This window comes from Homo sapiens, chromosome 13, assembly GCF_000001405.40.
Source record: "Homo sapiens chromosome 13, GRCh38.p14 Primary Assembly".
NCBI classification, from domain to species: domain Eukaryota; kingdom Metazoa; phylum Chordata; class Mammalia; order Primates; family Hominidae; genus Homo; species Homo sapiens.
Genome location: NC_000013.11, coordinates 113,564,850 through 113,579,482, shown reverse-complemented (window position 1 = coordinate 113,579,482; position 14,633 = coordinate 113,564,850).

Sequence of the window (14,633 nt, the reverse complement as noted above, 5' to 3'; positions counted from 1 at the left end):
TCCAGACTCACGTCCTGCCTGGGAGCTTTCCAAGGGCTGTGCGTCCTCCAGCCCCTAGCTTTCCCACTCTGGATGGCAGCAAAGTAATAGTGCATCTTCAACGGTGGGAGGGGGCAGGGGGCACCTGCCTCCCACCGTGTTTAGGTGCATTTTCTAAACACGAGGAGCTGCCTGGAGGGCAACAGCCGGCAATGCGCAAGCCTGATAAAAGAGGCTCAAGAAGAACCATTGTGCCCCTTCCAGTATGGGAGGATGCTGCAGAAAGATGGCTGTCCATGAACCAGCAAGCAAGACCCTCATCAGACATAAATTTCAGTGGTTTATAAGCAGCCCAAACAGACTAAGACATCCACCCAGTCCTTCATACAGAAACCTAGAAGCCAAATACTTCATTTGCCCTCACTCCAACCACTTACCAACTTGACATGTCTTTAATTCCTCTGTTTTTCTACCTCCTCTGCTACAACCCTGGCCGAGATAGCATCCTCTCCATTGAGGACTATAAAAATCACTCCCTTCATCCAATCTTGTATAATCTAATCTGTTATCTATTCAGCAGAGTGATATTTTAAAATTGGAGATTAGGCCGGGCATGGTGGCTCATGCCTGTAATCCCAGGACTTTGGAAGGCCAAGGCAAGAAGATTGCTTGAGGCCAAGAGTCTGAGACCAGGCTGGGTAATGTAGCAAGACTTTGTCTCTACAAAAAATTTTTTATAAATTAGCTAAGCATGGGCCAGGCGCGGTGGCTCATGCCTATAATCCCAGCACTTTGGGAGGCTGAGGCAGGCGGATCACGAGGTCAGGAGATCTAGACCATCCTGGCCAACATGGTGAAACCCCATCTCTACTAAAAATACAAAAAAAATTAGCCAGGCATGGTGGTGGGCTAAGTGCCAGACACAACTCTGGGTAGTCCCAGCTACTGGGGAGGCTGAAGCAGGAGAATGGCATGAACCCAGGAGGCAGAGCTTGCAGTGAGCCGAGATCGTACCACTGCACTCCAGCCTGGGCAACAGAGCGAGACCCCATCTCAAAAAAAAAAAAAATTAGCCAAGTGTGGTGGCACATACTTGTAGTCCCAGGTACTTGGAAGACTGAAGCAGGAGGATTGTTTGAGACCAGTGATCACACCACTGCACTCTAGCCTGAGTGACACAGTGGGACTTGGAAGGAAGAAAGGGAGGGAGAGAGGAAAGAAAGAGAAAGAGAGGAAGGAAGGAAAGAAGGAAGGAGGGAGGGAAGGAAGGAAGGAAAGAAGGAAGGAAGGAGGGAAGGAAGGAAGGGAGGAAAGAAAGGAGGGAGAGAGAGAGAGAAATAAATAAATTAGGTCATGCTGCTTCTTGCTTAAAAAATTCTTCAATGGATTGACCTGCTTACTGGGTTGATGAGTAACTAGGAAGCATGGCAATAAATAAACTCCGAGTAAGACTTATTCTTTAATGCACTGCTATCTCACAAGGTATAGGAAATGTCTCCAGGGACTGTACCCTGGAGAATGTTCCAGGTGCACTTGAGAAAAAATTGTATCCTGCCGTTTGTTAGTGGCATGTTCTATGTATGCCTGTTAGGTCCAGGTGCTCTATAGTGTTGTTTAAGTCCTTTTTTTTTTATTGATCTCCTGTCTGGTTGTTCTATCCAACATCTACAGTTGGGCACTGAAGTCTCCTACTATTATTATAGAGTTGTCTGTTTCTCCCTTAAATTCTGTCAATGTTTGCTTTGTATATTTAGAAGCTCTGATATTTAGTACATATATATTTATGATTGTTGTATCTTCTTGGTGAATTGACCTTTTCAAAAGTTGTCCCTTTTATATATATCCTTCTTTGTTACTCATGACAGTTTTTGACTCAAAATCTATGCTGATATTAATATAGCCACTCTTCCTCTCTTTTGATTACTATTTGCATGAATATCTTGTTTTATCCTTTCACTTTCAACCTATGAGTGTCCTTAGATCTAAAGTGAGTCTTTTGTGGACAGCATATAAAATGTGTTTTTTTATTCATTTTGCCAGTCTATAACTTTTGACTGAGGAGTTTAATCCATTTACATCTTTATACATTTTCTGCCCAGTAACATAGATTTAAAATTATTTTTGTGTATTTGTCTTTTAAATCATGTAGGAAATAAAAGAGTGGAGTTATAAACCAAAAATATAATAATAGTGGCTTTTCTACTTGCCCATGTACTTACCATGTATTTACCAAAGACATTTATTTCTTCATATAGTTACTATCTGGTGTCCTTCCATTTCAACCTTGAAGGATCTGTCCTTTAGCATTTCCTGCAGGGCAGGTCTAGTGGTAATGAACTCCTCAGCTTTTGTTTTTCTGGGGGATGTCTTAATATTTCCCTCGTTTTTGAAGGGTAGTTTTTCCAGCTATAGAATTTACAGATTGGCAGGGTTTGGCTTTTTTTGCAGTGTTTGTTTTTTTTTTCCCCCTTCACTTTAAATGTATCATTCCACTAGGCAGTGGACTTCCATGATTTCTAATGAGAAATTGGCTATTAATCTTACTGAAAATCCATTATAAGTGACAAATCACTTCGCCTGCTGTTTTCAAAATTCTCTTTGTCTTTTGAGTTTGATTATGTATCTTGGTGTGGGTTTCTTTGAGTTTATCCTACCTGAAGTTCATGAACTTCTTGGATTTGTAGACTTGTATCTTTCATCTTGTTACACACAATGACCAAGTGAGATTTATTCCATGAATGCAAAGATGGTTCAACATAAGATAATCAATGTAACACATCACATTAATAGAACAATATGCAGTCGGCCCTTTGTATCTGCGGATTCCACATCCATGGATTCAACCAACCTTGTATTAAAAATTTATTTAGACCTACAAAGGTTGCCTCTGTACTGAACATGTACAGACTTTTTCTTCTTGTCATTATTCCCTAAATACAGTCTAATAACTATTTTTATAGCATTTACATTACATTATGTATTATAAGTAATCTACAGATGATTTAAAATACACAGGAGGGTGTGTTTGGGTTATATGCAAATACTATGCCATTTTTAAAAAGGGACTTTAGCATCCATGGATTTTGGTATCACAGAGGATCCTGGAACCAATCCCTCATGGATACTAAGGAACAACTATATACACATATACACACACAAGCATGTATGTTTGACATGGTATGCCAATGTTCACTGCAGCATTAATCACAATAGTCAAAAGATGGAAAGACCCTAAGTGCCCATCAACAGACAAATGGATAAACAAAACATAGCATGTGCCAGTAATGGATTATTATTCAGCCATATAAAGGAATGAAATTCTGATATATGCTGTAACATGGGTGAACCATTAAAACATCATGCTAAGTAAAGTAAGTCAGACACAAAAGGACAAATATGGTGTGATTCCACTTATATGAAATATCCAGAATAGGTAAATTCATAGAGACAAAAAGTAAATTAGCAGTTACCAGTGACTGTGGGTAGGTGGTTACTCCTCAATGATTACAAAGCACTGTTAGGGGTGATGAAAAATGTTGGAAGTAATTAGTAACACTGTGAATGTAATTAATACCACTGAATTTTACACTTGAAATGGTTAAAATGGCAAGATATACATACACACACACATATATATATATATATACACACCATAGTTTTAAAAAATTATTAATATACCCCAGTTCAGAACAGTGAACTGGTTCTGAATTTTTAAATTATTAATTTAATTTAAAAAATTAATAATATACAAAGATACCATCATGTACTGTAAGTGGGTGAATTGCATAGTATGTAAATTTTATCTCAATAAAACTATTTCTAAAAAAGCTATAAAGGATATTTTGAGGACAATGGGGAAAGACCTTACATAGTCCAAATATTAGGTAAAAGAAGGAAAAAATTATTATTTTGCTAAATGTGATAATGGCATTTTGGTAGTTTGGGAGATTATTTTTATTCTTAGAAAAGGTGCACAGTGATGAATTTAGATACTAAGTGTCATTATTTTGACTATTTATTTGTAAGTGGTTCAGATAAAAGTGTGTATTTTTGTGTATGTACTTTCATATGGGAGAGAGAGACAGAAGGGGAAGAGAGAGAACGAATATGGCAAAATGATTTTTAAAAACTGCTTAATGTATGATTGTGTATTTTACTATTTGTTCAATCTCTCTGTGTTTTGAAATTCGCAATATAATTAAGAGAAAAATCCCATTTCTATTCAAATGAAACAGAAAGTCCTAACCAGTGCAACAAGACAAGAAAAAGAAATAAAAAGGCACAAATATTGAATAGGAAGAGGTAAAATTCTTTTTATTCTCAGATGATGATTGCAGATCTGGAGCACCAAGGACTCAAAGTTAATCAGTAAAGTTACAAGACTCTCTAAATACAAGTTCAATGCAAAATAACATCACTTACATTTCTATATACCAGCAAACTATTGGACAATATATTTTAAAAATATTTTCATGTCATTTAAGAATATTTATGATGGCATGAAAAATAGCAACTAATTAGGAATTAATTTAGATGTGTAAAAGTTATTTTGAAAAAATACAAAATATTGCTTTACAAATCTAAAGTAGACCAAAAATATTGGAGATACAACATATCTGTGGATTAGAAGACGCAATAGTGTTAAGATAGCCCTTCTCCCCAAACTAACCTATGGATCCAATGCAATCCCAATCAGAATCTCAGCTTTTTTTATTTTTTTTCAGTAGAAGTTGACAATTCATTTTTCAAAAAACGGACTTTATTAAGAGCATTATTAAGTTCACAGCAAAACTGAGCAGAAAGTACAGAGAGTCCTTACATACCTTCTTTCTCTCCCCCTACCCACAGACGCCTCAACATCCTTCCAGAGTGGTGCATTTGTTACAATCAATTAACCTACACTGACACATCATCATCATCCATAGTTCATAGTTTACATTAGAGTTCATTCTTGGTGTTGTACATTCTATGATTTGGACGAATGTATAATGACGTGTCCACAATTATAGTATCATGGAAAATAGTTGCACTGCCCTAAAAATCTTCTGTGCTCTGTCATTTTATCCCTCCCTCCCTTCTAATTCCTGGCAACCACTGATCTTTTAACTGTCTCCATTGTTTTGCCTTTTCTAGAATGTCATAGAGTTGGAATCATATAGTTGTAACCTTTTTAGATTAGCTTCTTTTTTTTTTTTTGAGACAGAGTCTCGCTCTGTCACCCAGGCTGGGGTGCAGTGGCGCAATCTCAGCTTACTGCAACCTCCATCTCCTGGGTTCAAGTTAGCCTCCTGTCTCAGCCTCCCGAATAGCTGGGATTTCAGGTGCGTGCCACCACGTTGGCTAATTTTTGTATTTTTAGTAGAGACGGGGTTTCACCATGTTGGCCAGGCTGGTCTCAAACTCCTGACCTCAGGTGATCCACCTGCCTTGGCCTCCCAAAGTGCTAGGATTACAGGTATGAGCCACTGCCCCCAGCAGTGGCTTCTTTTACTTAGTAATATGCACTTAAAGTTTCTCCATGTGTTTCCATAGCCTGATAGCTCATTTCTTTTTAGTACTGAATAATATTCCGTTATCTGGATGTATCACAGTTTGTTTATCCACTCACTTATTGAAGGACATCTTGGTTGCTTCCAACTTTTGGCAATTATAAATAAAGCTGCTATAAACATCCATGTGTAGAATTTTGTGCGGACATAAGTTTTTGACTCATTTTGGTAAATACCAAGGAGCACAATTGCTGGATCACATGGTAAGTGTATGTTTAGTTTTTTTTATTTTTTTATTTTTTATTTTTTGGGACGGAGTTTCACTCTTGTTGCCCAGGCCGGAGTGCAATGGCGCAATCTCGGCTCATCGCAACCTCCACCTCCCGGGTTCAAGTGATTCTCCTGCCTCAGCCTCTCAAGTAGCTGGGATTATAGGCATGCGCCACCACGCCTGGCTAATTTTTTTGTATTTTAATAGAGACGGGGTTTCTCCATGTAGATCAGGCTGGTCTTGAACTCCTGACCTCAGGTAATCCGCCTGCGTCGGCCTCCCAAAGTGCTGGGATTACAGGCATGAGCCACCGTGCCCAGCTGTTAGTTTTGTCAGAAACTCCAAACTGTCTTCCAAAGTGGTTATGCTATTTTATATTCTCACCAGCAATGAATGACAGTTCCTGCTGATTCACATCATTACCAGCGTTTGGTGGTGTCAGCAACTTGGTTGTCTGCCAGTCTAATAGGTGTGTGGTGGTATCTCCTTGCTGTTTTAATTAGTACTTCCCTGATGACATATGATATGAAGCATCTTGTCACATGCTCATCTTCTTTGCCGTCTGTATAGCTTCTTTGGTGAGGTGTCTGCTCAGGTATTTTGCCCATTTCTTTCTTTCATATTTTTTTTAAGATGGAGTCTTGCTCTGTTGCCCAGGCTGGAATGCAGTGGCACAATCTCAGCTCACTGCAACCTCTGCCTCCTAGATTCAAGTGATTCTCCTGCCTCAGCCTCCCGAGTATAGGTGCATGCCACCACACCCAGCTAATTTTTGAGTTTTCAGTAGAGATGGAGTTTAACCAGGCCAGGCTGGTCTCAAACTCCCAACCTCAGGTGATCTGCCTGCTTCGGCCTCCCAAAGTGCTGAGGTTACAGGCATGAGCCACCATGCTGGTTTGCCCATTTCTTTCTCTTTTTTTCTTTTCTTTTTTCTTTTTTTTTTTTTTTTTTGAGATGGAGTCTCACTGTGTCACCAGGCTGGAATGCAGTGGCAAGATCAGGATCTTGGCTCACTGCAATCTCCACCTCTCAGGTTCAAGTGATTCTCCTGTCTCAGCCTCCCAAGTAGCTGGGACTACAGGCGTGCACCACCATGCCCAGCTAATTTTTGTACTTTTTGTAGAGATGGGGTTTCACCATGTTGGCCAGGATGGTCTTGATCTCTTGACCTCGTGATCCGCCCACCTCGGCCTCCCAAAGTGCTGGGATTATAGGCGTGAGCCACCGGGCCCAGTTGCCCATTTCTTAATCAAATTGTTCATTTTCTTACTGTTGAGTTTATAGATTGATTGCATTCAATCTATACTAGAGATGAAGTTGGGAAGAACTGACATTCTGAAAATATTAAGTCTTTCTATCCATGAACATGGGATGTCTCTCATTTATGTAGCTTTTCTTTGAGTTCTTTCACCAGAGTTTTGTGGTTTTCCTCATAAAGATCTTGTATGTATTTCGTTAGATTTAAACCTAAGTACTTCATTCTTTTTTAGTGTTACTGTAGATAGTAGTGTGTTTTAAATTTGAAGTTCCACTTGTTTTTTACTGGCATATAGAAAAGCAATTTATTTTTGTTATATCCTACAATCTTGCTATAATTGCTTATTAGTTGCAGGAGTTTTTGACAATTCTTTTGGATTTTCTACATACACAATCAGGCAGTCTGGTAACTAAGGAAGCTTTGTTTTCTCCTTCCCAATCTGTATACATTTTATTTCCTTTTATTGTCTTCTTGGACTTGCTAGAACTTCTAGTACAATGTTGAAAAGGATTGGTGAGAAGGAACATCCTTGCCTTGATCCTGATCTTAGCAGGAAAGATCTAGTTTCTAAATATTATGTGTGATGTTAGCTGTAGGTTTTCTGTAGATATCTTTACCAAGTGAAGAACTTTCCCTCTATTCTTAGTTTACTGAGTCTTTTTTCCTAAATCATAAATAATTGTTGGATTTTGTCAGATGCTTTTTCTACATCTATTGATATGATCGTGTGATTTTTCTCCTAATGTAATGTGACTGTGCGAATTGATTTTTAAATGTTGAACCAATCTTGCAGACCTGGATAGATACCACTTGGTCATGGTTATAAATTCCACTTGTTCATGGTGTATAATTATTTTTATACATTGCTGGATTTGATTTGCTAGTTTTGGTTTTTTTTTGTATTTTTGTTTGTTTGTTTTGTTTTGTTTTGTTTTTGAGACAGTGTTTCACTCTTGTCTCCCAGGCTAGAGTGCAATGGTGCAATCTTGGCTCACTGCAATATCTGCCTCCCGGGTTCAAGTGATTCTCCTGCCTCACTCTCCCAAGTAGCTGGGATTACAGGTGCCCACCACCACGCCTGGCTAATTTTTGTATTTTTAGTAGAAATGGGGTTTCACCACATTGGCCAGGCCGGTCTCAAACACCTGACCTCAGGTGATCCACCTGTCTCGGCCTCCCAAAATGCTGGGATTACAGGCGCGAGCCACTACATCCAGTCTGATTTGCTAGTATTTTATTGAAGACTGTTGCATCTATGTTCATAAGAGAGACGAGTCTGTAGTTTTCTTTTCTTGTAATGTCTTTGTCTAGTTTTGGTATTATGTTAATGCTGGCCTCACAGAATAAATTAAAACATATTCCTCTGCTTTTATCTTCTGGAAAAGATTGTAGAGAAGTGGTATAATTTATTCCTTAAATGTTTAGTAAAATTTACCACTGAACCTATCTGAGCCTGGTGCTTTCTGTTATTCATTATTGATTCAATTTCTTTAATAGATTTAGGTCTATTTAAATTGTCTATTTTTGTGTGAGTTTTGGCAGATTGTGTCTTCCAAGGAATTGGTTCATTTCATCTAGGATACCAAATTTGCAGGCACAGAGTTGTTCGTCATATGCCTTTATTACCCCTTTAATGTCCATGAGTTCTATATGAGGTCTAATGGCCCCTCTTTCATTTTGGATATTGGCAATTTCTGTCTTCTCTGTTTTTTCCTTAGCCTGGCTAGAAGTTTATGGATTTTATTAATCTTTTCAAAAAACCATCTTTCGGTTTTATTGCTTTTTGCTATTGTCTTCCTGTTTTCATTTCATTGGTTTCTGCTCTAATTCTTATTATTTCTTTTTTCTGCTTACTTTGAATTTAATTTGCTCATACTTTTCTAGTTCACTAAAGTGGAGGCTTAGACCATTGATTTTAGATATCCTTTTCTAATATATGCAGTCAATGCCATAAGTTCTCCTTTAAGCACTGCTTTTGCTGCACCCCACAAATTTTGATAAGTTGTATTTTCATTTTCATTTAGGTCAATGAAAGATTTTTAAATTTCTCTTGAAATTCTACTCAGGCCCATGTCTTATCTACAAGCGTGTTGTTTAATCAACAAGTAGTCTGGGATTTTCCAGTGACAACCCAACTTGAAATTTTATGTAGAATACCAACAGACCCAGTAATTCCAAGACAATCTTGAAGAACAATAATGTTGAAGGATTTATACTACCAGATTTCAATGCCACATTAAGACAGTGTAGTGATGGCATACAGATAAATAAATATAGCTAAAGAGACCAATGACACAGAATAGAAAATCCCAAAATAGACTCACATATTATATTTACTTGATTTTCAACAAAGGCATCAATACCATTCATGGGAAAAGAAAAGTCTTTTCAATAAATGGTGCTGGATCAGCTGGATCTCATATGGAAAAAAAAAAAATGAACTTTGATCTCTACCTCACACCAAACCCCCCAAATTAAACTGTATGACATTACATTAATTTTAGCTTTATGAAAGCAAAAATTAGATATTTTGAAGAAAACAGGACCTTAGGATAGGCAAGAATTTTTTAAACAGAGCAAAAATAGCACCAAGTATAAAAGAAAAAATGTATAACTTGGACTTTTTCAAGATTTAAAACTCTTGCTCATCAAAAGCAAGTTTAAAAAATATTAATAGACTAGGGAAATATTTACAACGCAAATATCTAACAAAGAAATATCCAGAACAATTAAGAACTACAAGTTAATAAATAAAAGAAAAATAACTCAGTTATAAGATTGTCAAAAAGACTTGAGCTATAGTAAAGAAGAAATCCAAATGGCCAAGAAACATGTGAAAATGTTCTCAGCCTCTTTAGTAATCAGAAAATACAAATTAAAAACATAGGCAAATACCATTTCATACCTATCTGAATGGCTAAAAGGTAAGGGATTGACAACATCAAGTGTTGGCAAAGAACGTGACATAAGTGGAACTGTCATATATTGGTGGTGGGAGTGTTAAATGTTAAAATTCTTTTGAAAAACTGACTTACATTCCCTAACGAAGTCAAACATACAACTACTCCATGGTCCAGCAATTCCACTCCCAGGAATATATCCAAGAGAAATCAATGCATTTGTCTATCAAAAGACATCTTCTAGAGTGTCTATAGGCAGCACTGTGTGTAATTGTTCCAAACTGGGACCTGTCACAGTGCTCCCTGACAACAGGACAAATTCCGATAGAATCACACAATGGAATGAACTGTCCACAACTACAGGCAGTAATGGGGTAAAGTTCCTCATAAATACTGTTTTCAGCAAGAGTAGCAAGACACAAAAGACTACATTTTGTGTGGATCCATGATTATAAAGTACCAAACAAGCAAAATGAATCTAGTTGGGACAGAGGCTGCTGGTTGGAAGGTGGGAGTAGGAGTGGAAATAAATGGAAGAGAACACAGGGGGTCTTAGGGTGCTGGGGAAGCTGTGTTTTATTCATCTGGGTCTAGGTTAAATAGGTGAGTCCAATGAAAATTCATCAAGCTGTAAACTTGTGATATTTGCACCTTTCTATACATATACAATACAGCAATAAACAGTAAGAAACCAATCCAAAAGAAATCAAACCAATATCCAATTTAACAATAGAACAAAATATGAAATACAAGGAACAACTCTAATGAAAAATGCGTACAACACAATACTATAAAATACAACTGAAAGACAGAAGAACTAAATACATAAAGGTATATGCTGTTCACGGCTCAGAAGAGTCAGTGTTGTCGATGGGCCAATATGTATACACATGAAAAGATTCTTGGTCTCATTAATTATCAGGGAGCTACAGATCAAGACCACAATCAGAAATCATTTTATGCCCATATGACAGGCAAACTTTAAGAAGTCTGACAATAGCAAATACTGGGAAGGCTGTGGGCCAATTACATCTCTTACACATGGCCAGTAGGAGTGTGAGTTGATACAGCCACTTTTGAAAATAATTTGGCACAATCCTATTAGGTTGAATATTTGCACACCCTGCTACCCAACAATTCCACATTCAGGACCTGTCCCAGGGATCATGCTCAGCATCAATGTTTACGCTAACAAAAAAGCAGAAGGCAGCTCAAATGTTCAACTGTAGGACACCAGATAAGCAAAGTGAGGAGTATTCCCACAATAGGGTAACAAGTGAGAATGAATGAAGTAAAATGTCCCTAACGCCCACATATATCATATCCTTCTTATAAAGTTTAAAAACAAAAAGACAAAACTCATGTATGCATAATATATATATATATATATATATATATTTATGTATATATGTATGTATATAAGAAAAGAGACAAGCTAGAAAGGATAACAAGTGTCAAAGTCAGAGTAGTTCTTTGGTTACTTTCGGGGGGAAAACTTAGGGAGTTGTGTCTCATCATGTTCTTGGGTAGGGCTGTGGTTACACTAGGATTTGTTATGTTCCATGGACATATAAGACAGGAGATAGAACTGGACCATGCATGCAAGAGTGCAGCTGCCACTGAAACAAAGATAAGGATCAACCCTGTCTTCCTACCTGAGGGCAAGCTCTCCTCATTGTCAGTCCTTCCAAATCCTGCCCACTTCCAGGGCTCACCTGACCGCCGCATACAGACCTTCACCTGTATGGCCTCTCCTCTACCACACGTCAGCAAACCGGAGAAGTGAAGGGGATCTTACAGCTACTTTTACTTCTTACTTTATATAATTTTGTTAACAGTGAAAATTATAGGCACTTTTTCTGGCATTTTTCTGTATTTCCATATAAATATATAAAACAAAATCTTAGTTTTAAAAATCTAGAGAACATGGGGCCAGGCACAGTGGCTCACGCCTGTAATCCCAGCACTTTGGGAGGCTGAGGCAGGCGGATCACGAGGTCAGGAGATCGAGACCATCCTGGCTAACACGGTGAAACCCCGTCACTACTAAAAATACAAAAAATTAGCCGGGCGTCTTGGCGGGCGCCTGTAGTCCCAGCTACTCCAGAGGCTGAGGCAGGAGAATGGCGTCAACCCAGGAGGCGGAGCTTGCAGTGAGCCGCGATCGCACCACTGCACTCCAGCCTGGGCGACAGAGCAAGACTCCGTCTCAAAAAAAAAAAAAAAAAAAAAATCTAGAGAACATGTTTTAGTACAGAAGTCGGAAACTGGTGGTTTACCCTACCCAGGATTAAAAAGAAAAAAAGCAAAGAACATTGCCAACATTTAAAAATCACAAAATTTTATACAGAAGTCCATATTTCTGGCTTTTTAAAAATCAGATGATCTGGCCAGTGTTTGTGCATTCCTACTTAGCAGCTGCCTGCCAAGGCTGAGCGGCACCAAGTTCCCACCCCTCTGATGCCACACTCAGCTCATTCGCGCCACCTGCCTGGCCGCGGCATTTGTTCACCAATTTCTCTTTACCATCTTCCCTTCCCTTACGTGGTGCGCATGTTTGTCTCTGTGTCCTGACATGAAGGAAGCCTGTTCTTAGTAGCTCAGGGTCATCATCTCCTTGGGCAGATGAGGACTCTAACAAGAATCCAGGGAAATGACCGCACACCCTGGCACAGAGGTCACCCCAAGCCAGGCTCCAAGTGAGCCATCAGTAGACAGGGCTCCAAGGGTGAGGGCAGGAGGTGGCTGAGTTGCTGTCAGGGGTTGTCGGCCTAAAGAGCTGAGATCTGTCCTACTGGGAGGCGGGAAAATAAATCCATGATGGAACCAGACCATATTTCACAGGGAGACACAGGCTGGTGGTGATAGGCACGGCCGGAGGAGACCACCTGACGTTTTGGTACAGGCTGAAAAAGAAACAATTCAGGGTTCAGCCTTTTATAGAAAATTATCAAACCAACGTTTAAAAGAAACATTCTCACTCAAAACCTGAGACTCACCTTGTCTGAGCTCAAATCACAGTGTTTGAGCCTCAGGGGTGGGCAAGAAAACTGGGTCAGGATCAGACAGGGCTGCAGAGTGGGGTGGGGACCGTGGCAACACCAGGCTGGGCCCAGGCAATTCGGAACCGCCCTGCATGGCATAATGTCCTCAGGACACTGACCAGAAACCGGACCGCAAAAAGAAAGAAAGTCGCACTCAACAGGGAATTCGGGTTCCCTCTGGCCTGCACCTTTTCCTTCTTTCCGTCTTCTGGTTATTAAAGGGGTGAATTACCTACGTCGGGCAGGGCTGTGGCGGTGGCTCCGAGCCCCGCTGTCGCCCGCCCCGGCCCCAGACCTAGAACCTCACGCTGGCTTCTGAGCGCCAGGGCCCTGCAGGTCTCTGTGATGCACCCAGAGAGCAAATGTCCACGCCAGCTCAGACCAGACAGACTGAGGACAAAACAGGCTCTGCTGACAAGCGCACACGAGGCTCAGGGACCACGGGTGCTTTCAGTCAGGCCTGAGCCGCGAAGGGCTGAGCAGTGCGCACCGGAAGAGGTGAGGGCCCTGCCGGAAAGCCACGGACAGAAAGACGCCCTCGGAAGACCAGGACGACAGCAGTGCCGCGCGGGAAGACGGCACCATGATCTACACTGGCAGAAGCTCTGCCCACCTGAGTATGAGGGTCTGAGGGGAAAGTGTGAGGGGACGGTCTGAGGGTCTGAGGGGAGGGTCTGAGAGGACAGACTGAGGGTCTGAGAAGAAGGTCTGAGGGTCTGAGGGAAGGGTTGGGGGGTCTGAGAGGAGGGTCTCTGCGTCTGAGGGGAGGCTCTGTGTGTCTGAGGGGACGGTCTGTGGGTCTGAGAGGAGCGTCCAAGGGTCTGAGGGGAGCATCTGAGGGGAGGGTCTGCGGGTGTCTTGGGAGGGTCTGAGGGAAGGGTCTCAGGGTCTGAGGGTCTGAGGGGGGCGGTCTGAGGGTCTGGGAGGAGGGTCGTTGGGTCTGAGAGGAAGATTGAGGGTCTGAAGGGAGAGTCTGAGGGTGTGAGCGGAGGCTCTGAGGGTGTAGAAGAGGATCTGTGGGTCTGAGCCGAGGGTCTGAGGGTACGAGGGTTGGAGAGGAGGGTCTATAGGTCTGAGGGGAATGTCAGAGGGGAGGGTCGGAGGGTCTGTGAGGAGGGTCTGAGGGTCTGAGCGGAGCATCTGTGGGTCTGAGGGGAGAGAGTCTGCGGGTCTGAGAGGAAGGGGAGGGTCTGAGGGGCGGGTCTGTGTTCTGAGAGGAGGGTCTGTGTGTCTGAGGGGACGGTCTGTGGGTCTGAGGGGAGGGTCTGTGGGTCTGAGGGGAGTGTCTGAGGGTCTGAGCGGAGCATCTGTGGGTCTGAGCGGAGCATCTGTGGGTCTGAGGGGAGAGAGTCTGCGGGTCTGAGAGGAAGGGGAGGGTCTGAGGGGCGGGTCTGTGTTCTGAGAGGAGGGTCTCAGGGTCTGAGTGTGGGGTTTGAGGGTCTAAGAAGAGGGTCCAAGGCTCTGAGCAGAGAGTCTATGGGTCTGAGGAGAGGTTACGAGGGCCTGAGAAGAGGGTCTGAGCGTCCGAGGGGAGGGTCTGAGGGTGTGAGGATCTGATGGGAAGGTGTGTGGGTCTGAAAGGAGGGTCCATGGGTCTGAGGGGCGGGTCTGTGGGTTTGAGTGGAGGGTGTGGGGTTTGGAGAAGAGGGGCTGAGGGCCCGAGGGGAGGGTCTGAGGGGTGTATCTGGGGGT